The sequence below is a fragment of the Homo sapiens genome, chromosome X, assembly GCF_000001405.40.
Source record: "Homo sapiens chromosome X, GRCh38.p14 Primary Assembly".
In the NCBI taxonomy this organism is placed as follows: Eukaryota; Metazoa; Chordata; class Mammalia; order Primates; family Hominidae; genus Homo; species Homo sapiens.
Window position 1 is genome coordinate 64,232,920 of NC_000023.11, and position 25,086 is coordinate 64,258,005.

Consider the following 25,086-nt stretch of genomic DNA (forward strand, 5'->3'; position numbering starts at 1 on the left):
TTATCATTGTCGTTTTATAGTAGAGTAGATTGACTCCTTTAGCTTTACTATTTCATTTCAAGATTGTTTTAGCTATTTTAGTATCTGCACCTCTTTATATAAATTTTAGAACCAGCTTGTCTATGCCTACAAAAAACCTCTTTGAGATTTTGATAGAAATTGTGTTAAATCTATATATCAGTTTGGTTATATATATCAGAGTGCTTTGTTATACTGAGTCTTCCAGTGTATGCACATGATATGTTTTTACATTTATTTAGGTCTTCTTTGATTTCTTTTATCAGCATTTCTGATTTTTCAGCATATGGATTGTATATTTTGTTAAGAATATACCTAAATATTTCAATTTCTGTGGTGCAAATGACATTGGATTTTGATTTGGGTTTCCATATATTTGGTTCTTCTTGTTCCATATGTTTGTTTCTTCTTAGAAATGCAATTGGTTCACATGCACATGTATGTTTATTGCAGCACTATTTGCAATAGAAAAGACATGGAACCAACACAGATGCCCATCAATGATAGACTGGATAAATAAAATGTGGTACATATACACCATGGAATACTATGCAGCCATAAAAAAGAGTGAGATCATGTCCTTTGCAGGGACATGGATGAAGCTCGAAGCCAAATCCTCAGCAAACTAACACAGGAGCAGAAAACCAAACATTGCAGATTCTCACTCATAAGTGGGAGTTGAACAGTGAGAACATATGGACACGGGGAGGGGGACAACACACACTGGGGCCTGCTGGGAGGTAGGGGGCAAGGGGAGGGAGAGAATGAGGACAAATATCTAATGCTTGTGGGGTTTCAAACCTAGATAATGGGTTGATAGGTGCAGCAAACCATCATGGCACATGTAACAAACCTGCATGTTCTGCACATGTATCCTGGAACTTAAAGTAAAATTAAATTAAATTTTAAAAAAAGAAATGCGTTTTTTTGTGTGTGTGTTGATCTTGTATCCTAACTGAACTCCTTAGTCACAGGAAAGATTTTGTAGTTGTTGATTGTTTACTTTTGTTTTTGTTTTTTGGTAAGTTTATTGGGATTTTCTACATAGCCATTCATGCCATCTGCAAATGAGGGCAATTTTATTTTTCCTTTTCCAATCTGTATGCCTTATTTGTTTTATTTGCCTTAATACAATAGCCAGAACATCCAAGACTATGTTGAATAAGAGTTGTGAGAGTGGACATGTGTGCCTTTTCCCAGTCTTAGAGAATTAGCATTCAGTCGTTCACAATTAGGTATGATGTTAATTGTACATGTTTCAAAGATGCCCTTTATCAAGCTTATGAAATTCTCTTCATAGTTTTCTGAGTTTATCAGGAATGAATGTTAAATTTTGTTAAATGCTTTTTTTTCTCCATCAGCTGATGTGATCATTTCATTTTGCTTTCTTTAATCTCTTGACTGGTGGATTATGTTTGTTAGTTTCAAATGTTGAACCAGACTTGCATTCTTGGAATGATCCGCATTTGGTAATGGCATATAACTCTTTTTTTATGCATTGTGGGATTCAGTTTGCTAATACTTTTGGTGAGGAATTTTGTATCTGACTTGATGAGAAATATTGGTTTGTAGTTTTCTTTTTTTGTTCTGTCTTTGGTTTTAGTATCAGAGTAATAATGACCTCATAAAATGAGTTGGGAAATGTTCTCTCCTTTTCTATTTCTGGAAGAAATTGTGTAAAATTGGTGTGAATTCTTCTTTACATTTTTGGTAGAATTGTCCAGTGAAACTGCCTGGACCCAGAGATTTCTTTTTCCGAAAACTTTAAATAATAAACTGCATTTCTTTAATGGGTATAGGATTATTCATATAACCTATTTCACCTCTTTTAAAGTTTTGATAGTTTGTGGTTTTTGAAAAATTGGTCCGTTTTTTCTAAGTTGTTGAATTTGTGATGGTAAAGTTATTCCTAGTATTCTTATTTGTAATTATTTTATTATGATTATATATATATATATATATACATATATATATACATATATATACACACACATACATACATACACACAGACATATATATTACCGATTTAACCATTTATAAGTGTACAATTCAGTGACACTAACTACATTCACGGTGTTGTGCAAACACCATCATTATCCGTTTCCAGAGTTTTTTTCTAATCATCTCAAACAGAAACTTTGTACCCATTAAATAAAAATTCCCCATTCCCCCCTCCTTTCAGCATCTTATAAACTTCTGTCTCTATGAATTTGCCTATTCTAGGTACTTCATGTGAGTGGAATAATACAATAATTTGGTTGTGTGTGTGTGTGTGTGTGTGTGTGTGTGTGTGTGTGTGTAGCTTATTTCACATAGAATAATGCTTACAAGGTTCGTCCATGCTGCAGCCTATATCAGAACTTCATTCATTTTTAAGGCTGAATAGCGTTCCATTTTATGTATGTACCATATTTTGTTTATCCATTAATCCTTTGATGGACGCTCAGATTGTTTTTTCTTTTGGGCTATTATGAATGCTACTATGAACATTCACGTGTAAGTTTTTGTATGAACTTGTCTTCATACATTTCTCTTGTGTGTATACCTAGGAGTAGAACTGCAGGGTTATATAGTAGCTCTATAATTTTTTGAGGAAAAGAGACACACTGTTTTTCCATTACAGGTGCACCATTTTATATTCCCACCAGCAATCTATGAGAGTTCCAATTTCTTCATATCCTAGCCAATATTTGTCATTTTCCTTGTTTTTGATTATAGCCATCCCAGTAGGTGTGAGGTGGAATCTTGTGGTTTTGGTTTTCATTTCTCTAATTACTAACGATGTTGGCCTCTTTTAATGTGCTTATTGGTCATTTATACATCTTCTTTGGAAATATGTCTATTCAAGTACTTTGCCTTTTTTTAAATTTTAGAACATACTCATGTCTATTAGCTGGCTTATACTTGAGAAAGCAAAGGCAGGTGCACCAAGAGCTGTTTGACAAAGTCTCAGATATCAAAAAATAATAGTATTTATCTGTCTGCCCTACTCAGAGGGCACTTACATCCACTTCTAGGTGACTGTCTTCTGGAATGCAACCATTTGGTTTATGACATTGCACTGTTGTTGTATTGCACACAGAGTGCAGGCCTGTGTGCATCTAGTATCAAAGAAGTGGTCCATTAAACACCAAAAGCACTAGTTCTAAATGTCAAATTTGAATGTTAGTAACTAGCAAATACTAATTACGTAATAGAACGGTCAGAAAAACAACAAGCTTTGAATACTTTGTAAACTACAGGCTCTTATAAAATATAGGCTCTTAAGAGCTGCTTCCAACTTATTTCCTTCCTTTGCCAAAGCCTGTGCATTCATGCCAAATCAAGTACCTATAACACAACACTTATTGTGGTAAAAACAGATAACATAAAATTTACCATTTCAACCATTTTAAAGTATACAGTTCAGTAGTGTTAAGTATATTTACATGTTTGTGCAACAGATCTCCAGAACTTTTTCCCACTTGCAAAATTGAAACTCTGTATTCATTAAACAACTCTCCAACTCTCCTTTCCCCTAACCCCCGGAAAGCACTATTTTACTTTTTATTTCTATGAATTTGACTACTGTAAATATGTAATATAAGTGCAACCACGTGATATTTGTCTTTTCGTGACTGACTTATTTCACTTAGCAGATGTCCTCAAGGTTCATCAAAGTTTTCATTAGTAGTATGTATTAGTCCATTCTCACATTGCTATAAAGAACTATGTGAGACTGGGTAATTTATAAAGAAAAAAGGTTTAATTGGCTCACAGTTCCACAGACTGTACAGGAAGCATGGTTGGGGAGGCCTCAGCAAGCTTACAATCATGTCAGAAGGCAAAAAGGAAGGAGTTACATCTTACATGTCCAGAGCATCAGGAAGAGAACAAAAGGGTAGGTGGTACACACTTTTAAACAAGATCTCATGAGAACTCACTCACTGTCATGGGAACAGAAAAAGGGAAATCTGCCCCATGATCCGATCACTTCCCACTAGGCCCCTCCTCCAACACTGGTGTATTAGTCAGGGTTATCTAGAGGGACAGAAGTAATTGAATATATATTCATAAATATATATATATATATATATATATAGAACATATATAGAGAGAACTATATATATAGAACATATATATATATACACACATATATATGGAGAGAGAGAGAGAGATTATTATTAAGTATTAACTCACACAATCACAAGATTCACACAATAGGCTGTCTGCAGGTTAAGGAGCAAGGAAAGCCAGTCTGAGTTCCAAAACTGAAGAACTTGGAGTCTGATGTTTGAGGGCAGAAAGCATCCAGCTTGGGAGGAAGATGTAGGCTGAGAAGCTAGGCCAGTTTCACGTTTTCACGGTTTTCTGCCTGTTTTATATTTGCTGGCAGCTGATTAGATTGTGCCCACCAGATTAAGGGTAGGTCTGCCTTCCCCAGCCCACTGACTCAAATGTTAATCTCCTTTGTCAACACCCTCACACACACACCCAGGATCAATACTTTGAGTCCTTCAACCCAATCAAGTTGACACTCAGTATTAACCATCACAACTGGGGATTACAATTCAACATAAGATTTGGGTGGCGACAAAAATCCAAACCATATCATAGTATGTTACAGAATTTTCTTCCTTTTTAAAGATGAATAATATTCCATTGTATGTATATATCACATTTTGTTCATTCATCCATCACTGGATGCTTGGGTTGCTCCCACCTTTGGCTTTTGTTAATAATGATGCTACGAACGTTGGTCTACAAGCATCTATTTGAGCTCCTGCTTTCATTCAGTTCTCTTTGGTATGTACCCAGAAGTGGGATTGCTGGATCATGTGGAAGCCCTATTTTTAAGTTTTTAGGAACTGCCATATTGTTTTCCATATCGGCTGCACCATTTTAAAATCCCATCAACAATCCACAAGGGTTCAGATTTCTCTACATCTTCGCCAACATTTGTTATATTCTGATTTTTATTTTATAGTAGCCATTCTAATGGGTGTAAGATAATATTTCATTGTGGGTTCAATCTGTATTTCCCTAATGATTAATGATATTGAGCATTTTTTCATGTGCTTTTTTGTCATTTGTATATTACCTTTGGAGAAATGTCTATTCAAGTTCTTTGCACATTTTAAATTTATTATTTGGTTTGTTTCATTGTTGTTTTGTTGTAGGAGTTCTTTATTATTCTGGGTATTAACCCTTTATCAGATATATAATTTGTAAATGTTTTCTACCATTCCATAAGTTGCCTTTTCACTCTGTTGATATTAATTTTTGATGCACAAAAGTTTTTAAGTTTGATGTATTACCATTTGTCAATTTTTGCTTCTGTTGCCTGTGCATTTCATGTCATAGCCATGAAATCACTTCCAAATCCCATGTCACGAAGATTTGGTCTATGTTTTCTTCTAGGAGTTTTATATTTTGGGGTCTTACATTTAGGTCTTTAATCCATTTTGAGTTATTTTTTGTATATGATATAAGATAAGGGTTCTTTTGTATGTGAATGTCTATCGGGGGAAACCAGCCCCCAATATTTCAACATAAGTTCTTTTCTATTTTCCCTAAGTGTCGGCTGGTCTGAGAAATAAAGGGAAAGAGTACAAAAGAGAGAAATTTTAAAGCTGGGTGTCTGGGGGCGATATCACATGTTGGCAGGTTCCGTGATGCCCCCTGAGCTGCAAAACCAGCAAGTTTTTATTAGTGATTTTCAAAGGGGAGGGAGTGTACGAACAGGGTGTGGGTCACAGAGATCACATGCTTCATAGGGCAACTAAAGATCATAAGGCAGAAGGTCAGGGCGAGATCACAAGGTCAGGGCAAAACTAGAATTACTAATGAAGTTCCATGTCCCGCTGTGCATGCATTGTCATTGATAAACATCTTAACAGGGTTCAAGAGCAGAGAATCAGTCTGACTAGAATTCGCCAGGCTGGAATTTCCTAATCCTAGCAAGCCTGGGGGCGCTGCAGGAGGCCAGGGCATGTTTCATGCCTTATCGGCGACTGCATAAGGCAGACACCCCTACAGCAGCCATTTTAGAGGCCTCCTCCTGGGAATGCATTCTTTTCCCAGGGCTGTTAATTATTAATATTCCTTACTGGGGAAATAATTCAGCGATATTTCTCTTACTCGTTTTTGGCAATAAGAGAAATATGGCTCTGTCCTGCTCGGCTCCAGGCAGTCAGACCCAATGGTTATCTCCCTTGTTCCCTGAACATCGCTGTTATCCTGTTCTTTTTTCAAGGTGCCCAGATTTCAGACTGTTCAAACACACATGCTTTATGAACAATTTGTGCAGTTAATGCAATCATCACAGGGTCCTGAGGAAACATACATCCTCAGTTTATGAAGATGATGGGATTAAGAGATTTAAGTAAAGACAGGCAAAGGAAATTATAAGAGTATTGATTGGGGAAGTGATAAATGTCTATGAAGTCTTCACAATTTATGTTCTTCTGTCACGGCTTCAGCAGGTCCCTCCATTCTGGGTCCCTGACTTCCTACAACAAATATCCAGTTTTGCCAGAACCATTTTTTGAAAAGACTCTCCTTTTCCCCACTGAGTGGCCTTAGCATTTGTGGAAGATAATTTAACCATATATGTGAGGATTTATTTCTGGTATTTCTATTTTGTTTCATTGGTCTGCATGTCTGTTTTTATGCTAGTACTACATTGTTTTAATGCTAGCACTACATTGTTTTAATTACTATAGCTCTGTCTCGGACTTCCAGTACTGTTTTGAATAGAAATGGTGAGAATGAATATCTTTGTCTTATTCCTGACCTTACATGAAATGCTTTCAATCTTTAATCATTGAGTATGATGTTAGCTGTGTACTTTTCCCATTTTTAAATTAGGTTTTTGTCTATTTGTTGTCGAGTTTAGGAGTTCATATATCTGAGACAGTAGACCCTTATTAGATAAAAGTTGTCAAATATTTCCCACCATTTTGTGGGTTGTCTTTTCACTTTATTTGGTTCTCTTTCTACACTGCCATCCCAAGTTTCCATATCTGAGAATGTTTTTATCATTTCCTTGCTGGAATTACAGTGTTATCTCAAGTGTGGTTATTTGTTAGTAAGGTCTTTATTTGTGAGTGAAAAGAGCATGAGACACATCTAGTCAGCCATCTTCATAATGTCTCTTTTTCACTTTCTTAATAATGAGCTTAGATACATAAAAGTATTTAATTTTAATGAAGTTCAATTTATCTATTTACTGCTTTGTGGTTTGTGCTTCTTGTGTCCTCTACAAATGCATTGCTAAACCCAAGGACATGAAGATTTATATCTTTTTTTAACAATAGCTTCACAGTTTTATCTATTATATCTGGGTCGTTGATCCATTTGAGTTAATTTTTGTATATGTTGTGGGGTAAAGATCCAACTTCGTTATTTTGCATATGCGAATTCAGTTTTTCTAGCATCATTTTTAAAGAGTTTTTTTTTTTTCACTCACTGAATATACCCAGCTTTGTCAAAAAAAAAAAAAATGGCCATAGGTGTGTTGGTTTGTTAGGACTCTCAGTTCTATGTCACTGGTCCATATGTCTATCACTATGTGAAAATCACACTTTTAAAAAATTTATACAAATTTATAGGGTACATGTGAAATTTTGTTACATATATATACTGTGTGGTGATCAATTCAGGGTGTTTAGGGTTCCCATCAAGTGAGTATAATACAGTTTTGTTAACTGTACTCACCCTACTCTGCTATCAAATATTGGATATATTTCTTCAATCTAACTGTATGTTTGTACTCATTAACCCACTTTTCTTCAACCTCCTCAATTCTCCCATTCACCCTTCCCAGATATAGTTTGGATATCTGTCCCTTCCAATCTCAAGTTGAAATTTGATCTCCAGTGTTGGAGGAGGTTCCTCATGGGAGGTGTTTGAGTTATGGGGATGGAACCTTCATGAATGGCTTTGTTCCATCCCCACGGTAATGCCTGAGTTGTTACTCTATCAGTTCATGGGAGATCTGGTTGTTTAAAAGAGTATGACACTGTTCCCCACCCTCTCTTTCTTCCTCATCCCTGATCATGTGTTGCCTGCTCTGCTTCACCTTGCATCATGATTGGCAACTCCCTGAAACTTTCACTAGAAGCAGATGTTAGTGCCATGCTTTTTGTACAGCTTGCAGAACCAGGAACCCAATAAACCTACTTTTTAAAATAAATTACCTAGCCTCAGGTAGAGTAATGCAAATGGACTAAGGCATCAGTATCTGTTATCTATCTTTTCACTCTCTACTTCCATGTAATCAAACTTTTTAGCTCCCATATATGAGTGAGAACATGTGATATTTGTATTTTTGTACCTGGCTTATTTCTTTTAAGATAATGACTGCTAGTTCCATCCATGCTTTGCTGCAAATGATATGACTTCATTCTCTCATATAGCTAAATAGTATTCCATTATGTACACATACCACATTTTCTTTATCCATTCATCCATTGATGGACATATTGATGGAGTGCATGTATTATTTGATATATTTCTTTCCCTTCGAATAGATACACAGTAGTGGGATTTAATGGTAATTTTACTTTTATTTTTTGAGATGTCTCTCTACTTCTTTCCACAGCAGCTGTACTAATTTACATTCCCACCGACAGTGTATAAGAGTTCTGTTTTCTCTGCATCCTTGACAGCATATGATTTTTTTGTATTTTTAATAATAGCCATTCTGACTGGGGTAAAATAATATCTTATTGTGGTTTTGATTTGCATTTCTCTAATGATTAGTGATGTTGAGAATTTTTTTATATACCTGTTGGATATATACCTGTTTATATATTCTTTTAAGAAATGTCTATTCATGTTCTTTGCCCAGTTTTATTCTGCATGTGGCTTTGCAATTTTTCTAGCAACTTTTATTAACGAGGGTGTCTTTCCCTCAGTGTAAGTTCTTGTTGACTTGGTTGAAGATCAGTTGGCTGCAAATATGTGGTTTTATTTCTGGGTTCTCTATTCTGTTCCATTGGTCTATGTGACTGTTTTTAAACCAATACCATGCTGTTTTGGTTACCATAGCTGTGTAATATATTTTCAAGTTTAGTAGTGTGATACCTCCTGCTTTGTTATTTTTGCACATGATTGCTTTGGCTATTTGGGCCCTTTTTTGCTGCTATAAGAATATTGGGATTGATTTTTTTCCATTTCTGTGAAGAATGTCATTGATATTTTGATAGGGACTGTATTGAATCTGTAGATTGCTTTGGGTAGTATAATTATTTTAACAATATTAACTCTTATTCATGAGCATGGGATGATCTTTTCACTAGTTGGTGTCCTCTTCCATTTTGCTTCATTGGTATTTTGCAGTTTCCTTGAAGAGGTCCTTTACCTCCTTGGTTACATTTATTCCTAGGTATTTTTTTGTAGCTAGTATAAATAGGATTTTCTTCTTGATTTATTTTTTCAGCTAATTCATAATAGCTATATAGATACACTGCTGATTTTTGTATGTTGATTTTGTATTCTGCAACTTTACTGAGTTTATCAGTTCTAAGAATTCTTTGGTAAACTCTTTAAGGTTTTCTAAATATAAAGTCATGTCATCTGAAAAGAGGAAATTTTTGACTTCATCTTTTCCAGTTCAAATGCCTTTTATTTCTTTCTCTTGCCTCATTGCTCTGCCTAGAATTTCCAGTGCTATGTTAAGTGAGAGCAGTAAAAGTTGGTATCCTTGTATTATTCTAGTTTTTATAGGAAATATTTTTAGCTTTTCCCCATCTGGTGTGATGTTAGCTGTGGATTTTTCATATATGCCTTCATTATGTTAGGGTATGCTCCTGCTATGCCTACATTGTTGAGAGTTTTTATCATGTAGGAATGATGAATTTTATCAAATGCTTTTTTCTGTACCTGATGAGATAATCATATGGCTTTTGTTCTTAATTGTGTTGATGTGTTTTATCATGTTTACTGATTTGTGTATGTTGAACCATCCTTTCATCCCTGGATTAAATCCCAATTGATAATGATGTATTATCTTTTTCTTGTCCTGTTGGATTCAGTTTGCTCTTTTGTTGAGAATTTTTCCAGCTATGTTCATCAGGAATATTGGCCTATAGTTTTCTTTTTCTGTTGTATCTTTATCTGGTTTTGGTATCAAGGTAATGCTGGCCCTGTAGAATGAGTTAGGGAGAATGTCCTCTTCAACAACCTTTGCAACAGTTTGAAGAAAACTGGTGTTAGTTTTTCTTTATATGTTTGGTAGAAATAGGCAGTGAAGCCACCCAGTACTGGGTTTTCTTTGTTGGGAGACTTTTAGTTACTGAATAAATCTGGTTACTCATTATTGGTCTGTTCAGGTTTTCTATTTCTTCATGATTCAGTCTTGGTAGGTTGTATGTGGCTAGGACTTCATCCATTTCTTTTAGGTTATCCAATTTTTGGCATATAATTATTCATAATAGTCTCTTATAATCTTGTTTTATATGTGATACTAATGTCTTCTCTTTCATTTATGATTATTTTAACTTTTATTTTAGGTTCAGGGGTACATGGGCAGGTTTGTGATTAGCAATGTTGAGCACTTTTTCATAAGCTTATTGGCTGTGTGTGTATCTTTTTTTGAAAAGTGCCCATGACCTTTGCTACTTTTTAATGTTTTTTTTAACTTGTAAATTTGTTTAAGTTTCTTGTAGATTCTGGATATTAGACCTTAGTTAGATGCATAGTTTGCAAATATTTTCTCCTATTCTGCAGGTTGTCAATTTACTATGTTGATAGTTTCTTTAGCTGGGCAGAAGCTCTTTAGTTAGATCCCATTTGTCAATTTTTGTTTTTGTTGCTATTGCTTTTGGCATGTTCATCATGAATTCTTTACAAGACCTTATGTCCAGAATGTTATTTCCTAGGTTGTTTTCCAAGATTTTTATAGTCTTAAGTTTTATATGTAAGTGTTTAATCCATTTTGAGTTGATTTTTGTATATGGTGTATGGAAGGCATCCCGTTGCAGTCTTCTGCATATGGCCGGCCAGTTATCCTAGCACTGTTTGTTGAACAGGAACTCCTTTTCCCATTACCTGTTTTTGTCAACTTTGCCGAAGATTATATGGTTGTAGGTCTGCAGCATTATTTTGGGGTTCTCTATTCTGTTCCAGTTTTCCATGTCTGTTTTGTTTTTTCTAATATGCTGTTTTGTGTTTTGGTTAGTGTAGCCTTGTAGTATAGTTTGAAATTGGGTAACGTGATACCTCCAGCTTTGGTTTTGTTTGTTGTTGTTGTTTTGTTTGTTTGTTTTTGCTTAGGATTGCCTTAGGTATTTGGGCTCTCTTTTGGTATAAACTTCAAAATAGTTTTTCTAATTCTGTGAAGAATTTCGTTGGTAGTTTGATAGAAATAGCATTGAATCTGCAAATTGCTTTGGGAAGTATGGACATTTTAAAGATATTGACTCATCCTGTCTGTGAACATGGATGGAATGTTTTTCCATTTGTTTGTCTCATCTCTGATTTCTTTGAGCAGTGTTTTATAATTATCATTGTATAGTTCTTTCACCTCCCTGGTTAGCTGTATTCCAAGATATTTTATTCTTTTTGTGGCTATTGTGAATGAGATTGCATTCTTGATTTGGCTCTCAGCTTGGATGTTGTTGGTGTATAGGAATGCTACTTATTTTTCTATGTTAATTTTGTATCCTGAAACTTTGCTGAAATAGTATATCAGATCAAGTTGTTTGTCAGCTTAAGCAGCTTTTGGGCAGAGACTATGGGATAGCATTATATCTAGCATTATATTCTAGGTATAGCATTATATTATCTGCAAACAGAGATTGTTTGATTTCCTCTCTATTTGGATGCCTTTTATTCCTTTCTCTTGCCTGATTTCTCTGTCTAGTACATCCAGTACTATGTTGAATAGGAATGGTGATAGTGGACATCCTTGTCTTGTTCCAGTTCTCAAGTGGAATTATTCCAAGTTCTGCCCATTCAGTATGATTTTGGCTACTGCTATGTCATAGATGGCTTTTATTGATTTGAGGTATGTTCCTTGAATGCCTACTTCCTTGGGGATTTTAACATGAAATCATACTGCATTTTATCAAAAGTCTTTTCTTCATTTAGTGAGATAAGTATGTGGCTTTAAAAATAGATCTATTTATGTAATTAGTCACATTTATTCATTTGTATATCTTGAATCAACCTTGGATCTCAGGGATAGAGCCTACTTGATTGTGGTAGATTACCTTTTTGATGTGCTCCTTGATTCAGTTTGGTAGTATTTTGTTAAGGATTTTTGCATATATGTTCATCAAGGACATTGGCCTAAAGTTTTTGTTGTTGTTTTTGTTGTGTCTCTGCCAGGTTTTGCAGTCAGAATAATGCTGGCTTCAAAGAATGAGTTAGGGAGGAATCACACTTCCTCAACTTTTTGGAATAGTTTCAGTAAGAATGCTGGTACCAGCTCTTCTTTATACACTTGGTAGAATACAGCTGCGAATCTGCCTGGTCCTGGATGGCAGGCTTTTTATTACTGATTCAGTTTTAGAATCCATTATTGGCCTGTTCAGGGATTCAATTTCTTCATGGTTCAATCTTGAGAAGCTGTATTTTTTTCAGACATTTATCCATTTTGTCTAGGTTTTCTAGTTTGTTTACATAGAGGTATTTGTGGCAGCCTTTGAGGATTTTTGTATTTCTCTGGGTTTGGTGGTAATGTGCCCTTTGTCATTTCTGATTATGTTTATTTGTCTAGTTATCAGTCCATCAATCTTATTTATTCTTTTAATGAACCAATTCATAGATTCGTTGATTTTTTTTTTTTTTTTTTTTTTTGCATCTCAGTATCCTTCCCTTCTGCTCTGATTTTGGCTATTTCTTGTCTTCTTCTATCTTTGGATTTAGCTTGTTTTTGTAGTTTCTCGAGGTGTGATGTTGGGTTGTTAATTTGAGATGTTTCTACCTTTTTCATGTGGGTGTTTAGTGCTATAAACTTCCTTCTTAACACTGCTTTAGCTGTGTCCCCAAATTGAACAAAACTAAAGAAGTGTTAAGAAGGAATGTTGTATCTTTGTTCTTAGTGGTTTCAAAGAATTTGTTAATTTCTGCCCTAATTTCATTATTTACCCAAAAGCCATTCAGGAGCAGGTTGGTTAATTTCCATGTAATTGTATAGTTTTGAGTGATTTTCTTAGTATTGGTTTCTATTTTTATTGTGCTGTGGTCCAAGAGTGTGTTTGGTAAGATACTGGGGTTTTTTGAATTTGCTGAGGATTGTTTTATGGCTGATTGTGTGGTTGACTTTAGAGTATGTGCCATGTGCTTCTGAGAAGAACGTATATTCTGTTGTTTTTTGGGGAAGATTTCTGTAGATGTCTGTTAGGCCCATTTGGTCAAGTGTCGAGTTCAGGTCACAAATATCTTTGTTAATTTTCTGCCTTGATGACCTGTCTAATATTGTCAGTGGGTTGTTGAAGTCTCCTACTATTATTGTGTGGTTATCTAAGTCTCTTCATAGGTCTCTAAGAACTTGCTTTATGAATCTGGGTGCTCCTGTGTTGTGTGTGTATATATTTATGAAGGGTGGGTCTTCTTGTTAAATTGAACCCTTTACCATTATGTAATGCCCTTCTTTTTTTTTTTTTTACCATTGTTGGTTTAAGTCTGTTTTGACTAAAAGTAGAATAGCAACCCCTACTTCTTTCTGTTTTCTTAGTAGATTTTTCTTCATCCCTTTACTTTGAGCCTATGGGTGTCATTGCAGGTGGATGGCTGTCTTGAAGACAGCATACTGTTGGTCTTGCCTTCTTTATCCAACTTGTCACTCTGTGCCTTTTAATTAAAGCACTTATCCTGTTTACATTCAACGTTAATATTGATATGTGTGGATTTGGTCCTGCCATCAAGTCGTTAGCTGGTTATTATACAGACTTGATTGTGTGGTCACTTCTTAGTGTCATAGACCAAGTACATGGTCTATGCATTTAAGTGTGTTTTTGTGGTGGCTGGTAACAGTCTTACCTTTCCATATTTAGTACTCCCTTCAGGGCCTCTGGTAAGGCAAGTCTGGAGCTAACAAATTCCCATAGCATTTGCTTGTCTGAGAAGGATCCTATTTCTCCTTTGCTTATGAAGCTTAGTATGGCTGGATATGATATTCTTGATTGAAATTTCTTTTCATTAAAGATGCTGTATATAGGCACTAATTCTCTTCTGACTTATAGGGTTTTTGCTGAAATGTCCTTTGTTTTCCTAACGGGGTTCCCTTTGTAAGTGACCTGTCCCTTCTCTTTGGATGCCTTTAATATGTTTTCTTTAATTTTGACCTTGGAAAATCTATGTGTCTTGGGGATGGTCATCTTGTATAGTATCTTGAAGGGTTCTCTGCATTTTCTGAATTTGAATGTTGGCCTCTGTAGCAATGTTGGGTAAATTTTCTTGAATGATATCCTTAAGTATGTTGCCCACATTGCTTGCTATTTCTTCCTCTCTCCCAGGGACACCAATGATTCATAGATTTGGTGTCTACATAATACCATATTTCTCAGAGCTTTCGTTCATTCTTGTGTTTACTTTTTGTTGTGGTGGTTGTTGTCTGAGTTATTTTGTAGAACCAGTCTTCGAGCTCTGAGATTTGTTCCTCAGCTTGATCTGTTCTTGCTGTTAATACTTGCAATTGTATTCTGAAATTCTTGGAGTTTTTCAGCTCTATCAGATCAATTTCGTTGTTTCTTAAAATGGCCATTTTGTTTTTTATCTCCTGTATCATTTTATTGTATTCCTTAGATTCCTTGAATTGGGGTTCCACTTTATTCTGAATGTTGATGATCTTCATTCCTCTCCATATTCTGAATTCTATTTTTGTCATTTCAGCCTTGTTAGGAACCACTGCTGTGGAACTGGTGCAGTCATTTGGAGGTAAGACACTCTGGGTTTTTGAGTTGCCACAGTTTTTGCACTGGTTATTTATTATCTGTGTAGACTAATTTTTTTTGATCTTTGAAGCTGCTGTCCTTTTGGTGTTTTTGCTGTTATCTTCTTTGATGCCCTTGAGAGTTTGATTGTGGTATAAGGTCGGTTTCACTGTCTTCATTTCTGGAAGATTTTATGGGGCTCAGGCTCAGCTCAGCACTCCTGATTTGCATGCTCTGACTCTGAGGGGCAGGTACCAGGCTCCTGGCTTTCTTCTCCAGCTCCTTGCAGTTAGAAGCCTGCTGTGCTGGAGGGGCTGAGGTGTTCCCACCCCAATGGCCACAACACTCTAAAGGCTGGTGCCAACCAAAACACTTCATTGGGGCAGTGACAGCACAAGCTGTGGCTGCTTCAATGTGCCAGCAGCTGTGGCAGCATGGTGGAGTGCATGTACATTGGCTGGGGTGGGATGCTGGCAGAAGCGAGGTTGAAGCATTCCTGTGCATACTCCTGCTGGCAGTGGGCCACAGGCAGGGGAAAGGTTGCCAGTGCCTGTGCTTGCACTTATGCTGGTGGCAGTGGCAGTGGAGCACTGGTGGATGTGGGGCTGCTGGCCTCCATGTGTACATTTGCACTGTTGGCAGTGTCAGGGTATGGGGCTGCCGGCATTCAGCACTTATTCATACCAGCTGTGGTGGCAGCATGGGAGAGTTGTGATCGCCAGTGTGTGTGCACATTCACATGAAATTGTTGCACAGCTGAATGCTGAAACATTAGTGGTGGTGGTGGGGCAATGGGTTGCACTCACACTGGCAGCACACTTCCACACTGGCAGAGGAAAGGAGGTGACGTCCACTTGCACATATGCGCCAGCAAAGCAGTTGCAGGTGGCCATGAGCGAGAGTGTGCTGGCAAAGTGGTGTGGGGAAGGCTGTAATGGGGAGGGTGTGTGGGGGGCTGGTGTACTCTGTCAGTGGATGCTCTGCTGGGGCCCTCTCGTGGTGAGGCACGGTTTGCTGGTGAAAGAGATATAATGAGGGTCCCCAGGAAGCACCCTGGTTGGGCATCCAAGGCTGCACTGCCAGCAGGCGCAGTCAGCCTAGGGTCCTGGGAGATGGCAACAGACAGGTGGGCACTCAGATTGAACTGGCCTCATTCCACAAGCAAGATAGCCCTGTTCTGTCCAGGTCTGACATTGATCCTATGGCCAAAGTATCCTAGAAAAGCATGGGAAGCCTTGGAGGATGGGCATCCCTGGCATTGCTCCCATGCAGATATTCCCACACCAAATCCTCTGGGCTCTGTGCAAGCTGGAGACCAGGTCCTAGCACCTGTCTGAGAAGTACTCCCTGCCAACTCAAGTGTCCATGGGGGTCATGGCATTTCCTGCTGCCCAGATTTCAGAGGTCCATGATAGGAGCAGGCTGCTTCTTGCCTGTTCCCCCCATTGCTCATCCCCATAAGGAATGAGTCCCAGTGCTTTGTATTCCCTTGCAGGGTTTCCAGATACCCCCCCCACCACCCGTTCAGCCCAGCATCTACTCCTTCCCTCCATCTACTCTTAATGCCTTCCCTCTGAAGATCTGCTTGGAATTTGCCAGTCTTCCTGATGTTCCAGTCTCTCAGTGGTAGATGTTCCTACTGGCTGTGTCTAGTTGGCCATCTTTGGCCTATCACTGTCAATCTTGAAGGACAGTTTTGCCAGATATAGAATTCTCAATTTTCAGGGTACTTTTTTTTTCTTTCAGCACTTTAAATGTATGAATTTTCTGTCTTCTGGTCTTGAAGGTTTCTGCTGAGAAACAAACTGATGATCTTATTGAGAATACCTTGTATGTGATGAATTGCTTTTCTCTTCCTCCTTTCAAGATTTTTCTCATCCAACAATTTGAAAATAATGTCATTGTCTTGGTGTGAGTCTCTTTGGCTAAATCCTACTTGGAATTTGTTGAACTTCTTATATTTACATATTCATTTCTTTCCTCAAATTTGGGAGGGCTTTGGACATTATTTCTTCAAATAATCTCCTTGACCCTTTTCCTTTCTCTTCTTCTGGAAATTTTATAAGGTGTTTTATTTATTTATTTATTTTTGTCTCCTTCATGGTGTCTCATTAATCCATTAGACTCTGTTCACTTTTCTTCATTCTTTTAAAATTTTTGCTCCTCAGATTTGACAACTTTAAATGACCTGTCTCCAAGTTCTCTGATTCTTTCTTCTGTCTATTAGAGTCTGATGTTGAACCACTCTAGCAAGTATTTCAATGCAGTTTTTGTATTTTTTAGCCCACAATTTAAAAAAATAATTTCTACCTTTCAGTGATTTTTAAAATTTTGCTCACATACTGTTTTCTTTTTTTTTAAAAAATTTATTATTATTATACTTTAAGTTTTAGGGTACATTGCACAATGTGCAGGTTTGTTACATATGTATACATGTGCCATGTTGGTGTGCTGCACCCATTAACTCGTCATTTAGCATTAGGTATATCTCCTAATGCTATCCCTCTGCCCCCCGTCCCACCCCACAACAGTCCCTGGAGTGTGATGTTCCCCTTCCTGTGTCCATGTGTTCTCATTGTTCAATTCCCACCTATGAGTGAGAACATGCGGTGTTTGGTTTTTTGTCCTGGCGATAGTTTGCTGAGAATGAGTTCTTTTCACATATTTTTTTTTTTTTTTTTTTTTTTTGAGACGGAGTCTCGCTGTGTCTCCCAGGTTGGAGTGCAGTGGCGCGATCTCGGCTCACTGCAAGCTCCGCCTCCCAGGTTCATGCCATTCTCCTGCCTCAGCCTCCCAAGTAGCTGGGACTACAGGCGCCCGCCAACACGCCCGGCTAATTTTTTGTATTTTTAGTAGAAACGGGGTTTCACCGTGTTAGCCAAGATGGTCTGGATCTCCTGACCTCATGATCCGCCCGTCTCGGCCTCCCAAAGTGCTAGGATTACAGGCGTGAGCCACCGCGCCCGGCCTCTTTTCACATATTTAAGGAAGTGTGTTAAAGTCTTTATCTAGTACATTTGATGCCTAATGTCTCTTTTTGGACGATTTCTGTAGATTTATTTTGTTTCTATAAATAGACTATGCTTTTGTGTTTTTTTCTATGACTTGCTATATATTTTTCGAAAATTAGGCATTTGAAAAAAAAAAAAATCCCAACCACTTTTTCCAGTCTTTGCAGAATGGCTCCTTGCAGGGATAGACTTTTATTACTTAGCAGGGTACATTTTTGTCCTTGGGATTGGCCCAGGCAATCCCAGCCTTTGCAGGCCTTTTCTCAGCCTGTATTTCCCCTGAGCTCTTTTTCTCCAATTTCTCCACATATAATCAAATTTTATGTGTCTTAGTTTCCCTACGAGTCTCACTGCTGCTTCTTTTTGGGGACATGGCAGTTAAATTGTATTCCCCTACCAATAATCTCCTGCCCTTGGGGTCTATGGGTCTATAGTCCCCCTGTGGTTTTCATGAGCTGTACTCACTGCTTCTCGTGACTTTTCTTAGCTTGAGATCTGGGCCGTATCAATTTTGGCCATCTAAGCTCCATTTTAGGTGACAGAAATCAATCCGTCAGGTTGCCCTCAGACAGGTTAGAACATGGAAAATTAGGTCTACTCTTCTCTCTCTGGTTTGAAGGAGAGCTGGGGACTGAGCCACCTCTTCCCCAAAAGCATGTAACACCAGCAAGGTGTGGGTCAAAGGCAAGTAACAATGTCATGAAATTTCCTAGCTTTTTGAATGTGACTTTTTCTTCACTGGGCATTTGCTTGGTTTCTATTGATCTCTGACTGATTTCCAGAACTCCTATACAGTTATATAGATTTTAGTAGTTTCTTTTTAATGTGTTTTATAGGGGAAAGATGGCTTGAATCTTCCCAGTTCACCATTCTTCTTTAAGTTTTTAACTTTTGAAGGATAATTTCACTGGACACAAATTTCTAGATTGGGGCTTTTCTACCTTTGATACTTTAAATTTTTGCTTCACTACCTTCCTTCTGGCATGGCTCTGAGAAGTCCAATGTAATTCTTATCCTTGCTACTCTAAATTTAAGTTTTCTTCCCCCTCTAAAGCTCCTTTCAATATTTTTTCTTTGTCTTTGATTTTCTGCAGTTTGAATATGATATGCCTAGGTATGGAGTTTTGGGTATTTATTCTTCTTGGAGTTCTTTGAGCTTCCTAGATCTGTGGTTTGGTGTCTATCATTACCTTTGGGAAATTCTCAGTCATTATTGCTTCAAATTTTTCTTCTCTTCATTTTTCTCTTTCTTCTTCTTCTGGTATTGTCATTACATCTTTATGTAATGTTATGCTACACTACATAAAGTTATGTTACACCTTTTCTAATTGTCCCACATTTCTTGGATATTGTTATGTCTTTCCATTTTTTTTCTTGTTGCATTTCAGCTTAGGAGGGTTCTATTAACATTTCTTTAAACTCACTGATTTTCTTTTTCCTTGGCCATGCTCAGCCTAATAGTCTATTGGTGAGCCCATCAAAGCCATTCTTCATTTCTATTACATTTGATTTGTAGCATTTAGTTTTCATTCTTTTTTTTATTATTATACTTTAAGTTTCAGGGTACATGTGCACAATGTGCAGGTTAGTTACATATGTATACATGTGACATGCTGGTGCGCTGCACCCACTAACTCATCATCTAGCATTAGGTGTATCTCCCAATGCTATCCCTCCCCTCTGCCCCCACCCCACAACAGTCCCCAGAGTGTGATGTTCCCCTTCCTGTGTCTATGTTTTCTCATTGTTCAATTCCCACCTATGAGTAAGAATATGCGGTGTTTGGTTTTTTGTTCTTGCGATAGTTTACTGAGAATGATGATTTCCAATTTCAACCATGTCCCTACAAAGGACATGAAGTCATCATTTTTTATGGCTGCATAGTATTCCATGGTGTATATGTGCCACATTTTCTTAATCCAGTCTATCATTGTTGGACATTTGGCTTGGTTCCAAGTCTTTGCTATTGTGAATAGTGCCGCAATAAACATACGTGTGCATGTGTCTTCATAGCGGCATGATTTATAGTCCTTTGGGTCTATACCCAGTAATGGGATGGCTGGGTCAAATGGTATTTCTAGTTCTAGATCCCTGAGGAATCACCACAGTGACTTCCACAATGGTTGAACTACTTTACAGTCCCACCAACAGTGTAAAAGTGTTCCTATTTCTCCACATCCTCTCCAGCACCTGTTGTTTCCTGACTTTTTAATGATTGCCATTCTAACTGGTGTGAGATGATATCTCATTGTGGTTTTGATTTGCATTTCTCTGATGGCCAGTGATGGTGAGCATTTTTTCATGTGTTTTTTGGCTGCATAAATGTCTTCTTTTGAGAAGTGTCTGTTCATGTCCTTTGCCCACTTTTTGATGGGGTTGTTTGTTTTTTTCTTGTCAATTTGTTTGAGTTCATTGTAGATTCTGGATATTAGCCCTTTGTGAGATGAGTAGGTTGCGAAAATTTTCTCCCATTTTGTAGGTTGCCTGTTCACTCTGGTGGTAGTTTCTTTTGCTGTGCAGAAGCTCTTTAGTTTAATTAGATCGCATTTGTCAATTTTGGCTTTTGTTGCCATTGCTTTTGGTGTTTTAGACATGAAGTCCTTGCCCATGCCTATGTCCTGAATGGTAATGCCTAGGTTTTCTTCTAGGTTTTTTATGGTTTTAGGTCTAACGTTTAAATATTTAATCCATCTTGAATTGATTTTTGTATAAGGTGTAAGGAAGGGATCCAGTTTCAGCTTTCTACATATGGCTAGCCAGTTTTCCCAGCACCATTTATTAAATAGGGAATCCTTTCCCCATTGCTTGTGTTTCTCAGGTTTGTCAAAGATCAGATAGTTGTAGATATGCGGCGTTATTTCTGAGGGCTCTGTTCTGTTCCATTGATCTATATCTCTGTTTTGGTACCAGTACCATGCTGTTTTGCTTACTGTAGCCTTGTGGTATAGTTTGAAGTCAGGTAGCGTGATGCCTCCAGCTTTGTTCTTTTGGCTTAGGATTGACTTGGAGATGCGGGCTCTTTTTTGGTTCCATATGAACTTGAAAGTAGTTTTTTCCAATTCTGTGAAGAAAGTCATTGGTAGCTTGATGGGGATGGCATTGAATCTATAAATTACCTTGGGCAGTATGGCCATTTTCACGATATTGATTCTTCCTACCCATGAGCATGGAATGTTCTTCCATTTGTTTGTATCCTCTTTTATTTCATTGAGCAGTGGTTTGTAGTTCTCCTTGAAGAGGTCCTTCACATCCCTTGTAAGTTGGATTCCTAGGTATTTTATTCTCTTTGAAGCAATTGTGAATGGGAGTTCACCCATGATTTGGCTCTCTGTTTGTCTGTTGTTGGTGTATAAGAAAGCTTGTGATTTTTGTACATTGATTTTGTATCCTGAGACTTTGCTGAAGTTGCTTATCAGCTTAAGGAGATTTTGGGCTGAGACGATGGGGTTTTCTAGATAAACAATCATGTCATCTGCAAACAGGGACAATTTGACTTCCTCTTTTCCTAATTGAATACCCTTTATTTCCTTCTCCTGCCTGATTGCCCTGGCCAGAACTTCCAACACTATGTTGAATAGGAGCGGTGAGAGAGGGCATCCCTGTCTTGTGCCAGTTTTCAAAGGGAATGCTTCCAGTTTTTGCCCATTCAGTATGATATTGGCTGTGGGTTTGTCATAGATAGCTCTTATTATTTTGAAATAGGTCCCATCAATACCTAATTTATTGAGAGTTTTTAGCATGAAGGGTTGTTGAATTTTGTCAAAGGCTTTTTCTGCATCTATTGAGATAATCATGTGGTTTTTGTCTTTGGCTCTGTTTATATGCTGGATTACATTTATTGATTTGCGTATATTGAACCAGCCTTGCATCCCAGGGATGAAGCCCACTTGATCATGGTGGATAAGCTTTTTGATGTGCTGCTGGATTTGGTTTGCCAGTATTTTATTGAGGATTTTTGCATCAATGTTCATCAAGGATATTGTTCTAAAATTCTCTTTTTTGGTTGTGTCTCTGCCCGGCTTTGGTATCAGAATGATGCTGGCCTCATAAAATGAGTTAGGGAGGATTCCCTCTTTTTCTATTGATTGGAATAGTTTCAGAAGGAATGGTACCAGTTCCTCCTTGTACCTCTGGTAGAATTCGGCTGTGAATCCATCTGGTCCTGGACTCTTTTTGGTTGGTAAACTATTGATTATTGCCACAATTTCAGAGCCTGTTATTGGTCTATTCAGAGATTCAACTTCTTCCTGGTTTAGTCTTGGGAGAGTGTATGTGTCGAGGAATGTATCCATTTCTTCTAGATTTTCTAGTTTATTTGCGTAGAGGTGTTTGTAGTATTCTCTGATGGTAGTTTGTATTTCTGTGGGATCGGTGGTGATATCCCCTTTATCATTTTTTATTGTGTCTATTTGATTCTTCTCTCTTTTTTTCTTTATTAGTCTTGCTAGCGGTCTATCAATTTTGTTGATCCTTTCAAAAAACCAGCTCCTGGATTCATTGATTTTTTGAAGGGTTTTTTGTGTCTCTATTTCCTTCAGTTCTGCTCTGATTTTAGTTATTTCTTGCCTTCTGCTAGCTTTTGAATGTGTTTGCTCTTGCTTTTCTAGTTCTTTTAATTGTGATGTTAGGGTGTCAATTTTGGATCTTTCCTGCTTTCTCTTGTAGGCATTTAGTGCTATAAATTTCCCTCTACACACTGCTTTGAATGCGTCCCAGAGATTCTGGTATGTGGTGTCTTTGTTCTCGTTGGTTTCAAAGAACATCTTTATTTCTGCCTTCATTTCGTTATGTACCCAGTAGTCATTCAGGAGCAGGTTGTTCAGTTTCCATGTAGTTGAGCGGCTTTGAGTGAGATTCTTAATCCTGAGTTCTAGTTTGATTGCACTGTGGTCTGAGAGATAGTTTGTTATAATTTCTGTTCTTTTACATTTGCTGAGGAGAGCTTTACTTCCAACTATGTGGTCAATTTTGGAATAGGTGTGGTGTGGTGCTGAAAAAAATGTATATTCTATTGATTTGGGGTGGAGAGTTCTGTAGATGTCTATTAGGTCTGCTTGGTGCAGAGCTGAGTTCAATTCCTGGGTATCCTTGTTGACTTTCTGTCTCGTTGATCTGTCTAATGTTGACAGTGGGGTGTTAAAGTCTCCCATTATTAATGTGTGGGAGTCTAAGTCTCTTTGTAGGTCACTGAGGACTTGCTTTATGAATCTGGGTGCTCCTGTATTGGGTGCATAAATATTTAGGATAGTTAGCTCCTCTTGTTGAATTGATCCCTTTACCATTATGTAATGGCCTTCTTTGTCTCTTTTGATCTTTGTTGGTTTAAAGTCTGTTTTATCAGAGACTAGGATTGCAACCCCTGCCTTTTTTTGTTTTCCATTTGCTTGGTAGATCTTCCTCCATCCTTTTATTTTGAGCCTATGTGTGTCTCTGCACGTGAGATGGGTTTCCTGAATACAGCACACTGATGGGTCTTGACTCTTTATCCAACTTGCCAGTCTGTGTCTTTTAATTGCAGAATTTAGTCCATTTATATTTAAAGTTAATATTGTTATGTGTGAATTTGATCCTGTCATTATGATGTTAGCTGGTGATTTTGCTCATTAGTTGATGCAGTTTCTTCCTAGTCTCGATGGTCTTTACATTTTGGCATGATTTTGCAGCGGCTGGTACTGGTTGTTCCTTTCCATGTTTAGCGCTTCCTTCAGGAGCTCTTTTAGGGCAGGCCTGGTGGTGACAAAATCTCTCAGCATTTGCTTGTCTATAAAGTATTTTATTTCTCCTTCACTTATGAAGCTTAGTTTGGCTGGATATGAAATTCTGGGTTGAAAATTCTTTTCTTTAAGAATGTTGAATATTGGCCCCCACTCTCTTCTGGCTTGTAGGGTTTCTGCCGAGAGATCCGCTGTTAGTCTGATGGGCTTTCCTTTGAGGGTAACCCGACCTTTCTCTCTGGCTGCCCTTAACATTTTTTCCTTCATTTCAACTTTGGTGAATCTGACAATTATGTGTCTTGGAGTTGCTCTTCTCGAGGAGTATCTTTGTGGCGTTCTCTGTATTTCCTGGATCTGAACGTTGGCCTGCCTTGCTAGATTGGGGAAGTTCTCCTGGATAATATCCTGCAGAGTGTTTTCCAACTTGGTTCCATTCTCCACATCACTTTCAGGTACACCAATCAGACGTAGATTTGGTCTTTTCACATAGTCCCATATTTCTTGGAGGCTTTGCTCATTTCTTTTTATTCTTTTTTCTCTAAACTTCCCTTCTCGCTTCATTTCATTCATTTCATCTTCCATTGCTGATACCCTTTCTTCCAGTTGATCGCATCGGCTCCTGAGGCTTCTGCATTCTTCACGTAGTTCTCGAGCCTTGGTTTTCAGCTCCATCAGCTCCTTTAAGCACTTCTCTGTATTGGTTATTCTAGTTATACATTCTTCTAAATTTTTTTCAAAGTTTTCAACTTCTTTGCCTTTGGTTTGAATGTCCTCCCGTAGCTCAGAGTAATTTGATCGTCTGAAGCCTTCTTCTCTCAGCTCGTCAAAATCATTCTCCATCCAGCTTTGTTCTGTTGCTGGTGAGGAACTGCGTTCCTTTGGAGGAGGAGAGGCGCTCTGCGTTTTAGGGTTTCCAGTTTTTCTGTTCTGTTTTTTCCCCATCTTTGTGGTTTTATCTACTTTTGGTCTTTGATGATGGTGATGTACAGATGGGTTTTCGGTGTAGATGTCCTTTCTGGTTGTTAGTTTTCCTTCTAACAGACAGGACCCTCAGCTGCAGGTCTGTTGGAATACCCTGCCGTGTGAGGTGTCAGTGTGCCCCTGCTGGGGGGTGCCTCCCAGTTAGGCTGCTCAGGGGTCAGGGGTCAGGGACCCACTTGAGGAGGCAGTCTGCCCGTTCTCAGATCTCCAGCTGCGTGCTGGGAGAACCACTGCTCTCTTCAAAGCTGTCAGACAGGGACACTTAAGTCTGCAGAGGTTACTGCTGTCTTTTTGTTTGTCTGTGCCCTGCCCCCAGAGGTGGAGCCTACAGAGGCAGGCAGGCCTCCTTGAGCTGTGGTGGGCTCCACCCAGTTCGAGCTTCCTGGCTGCTTTGTTTACCTAAGCAAGCCTGGGCAATGGCGGGCGCCCCTCCCCCAGCCTCGTTGCCGCCTTGCAGTTTGATCTCAGACTGCTGTGCTAGCAATCAGCGAGATTCC

General features: G+C 38.1%; 1 protein-coding gene across 2 annotated transcripts in view; it reads left to right on the top strand.

Annotated features, from left to right (window-relative positions):
* LOC112268307 (uncharacterized) overlaps positions 1–25,086 on the top strand; it is a 106,617-nt gene that overhangs the window by 26,974 nt on the left and 54,557 nt on the right. Inside the window, exon 3 of one of the 2 annotated variants that reach the window (XM_047442705.1) lies at positions 14,843–14,887. The exons of the other annotated variant lie outside the window; for it this stretch is intronic. Within the exon in view, the coding sequence (XP_047298661.1) occupies positions 14,843–14,887 (45 nt within the window). The remainder of the gene's footprint in view (positions 1–14,842; positions 14,888–25,086) is intronic. 2 annotated transcript variants of the gene reach the window in all.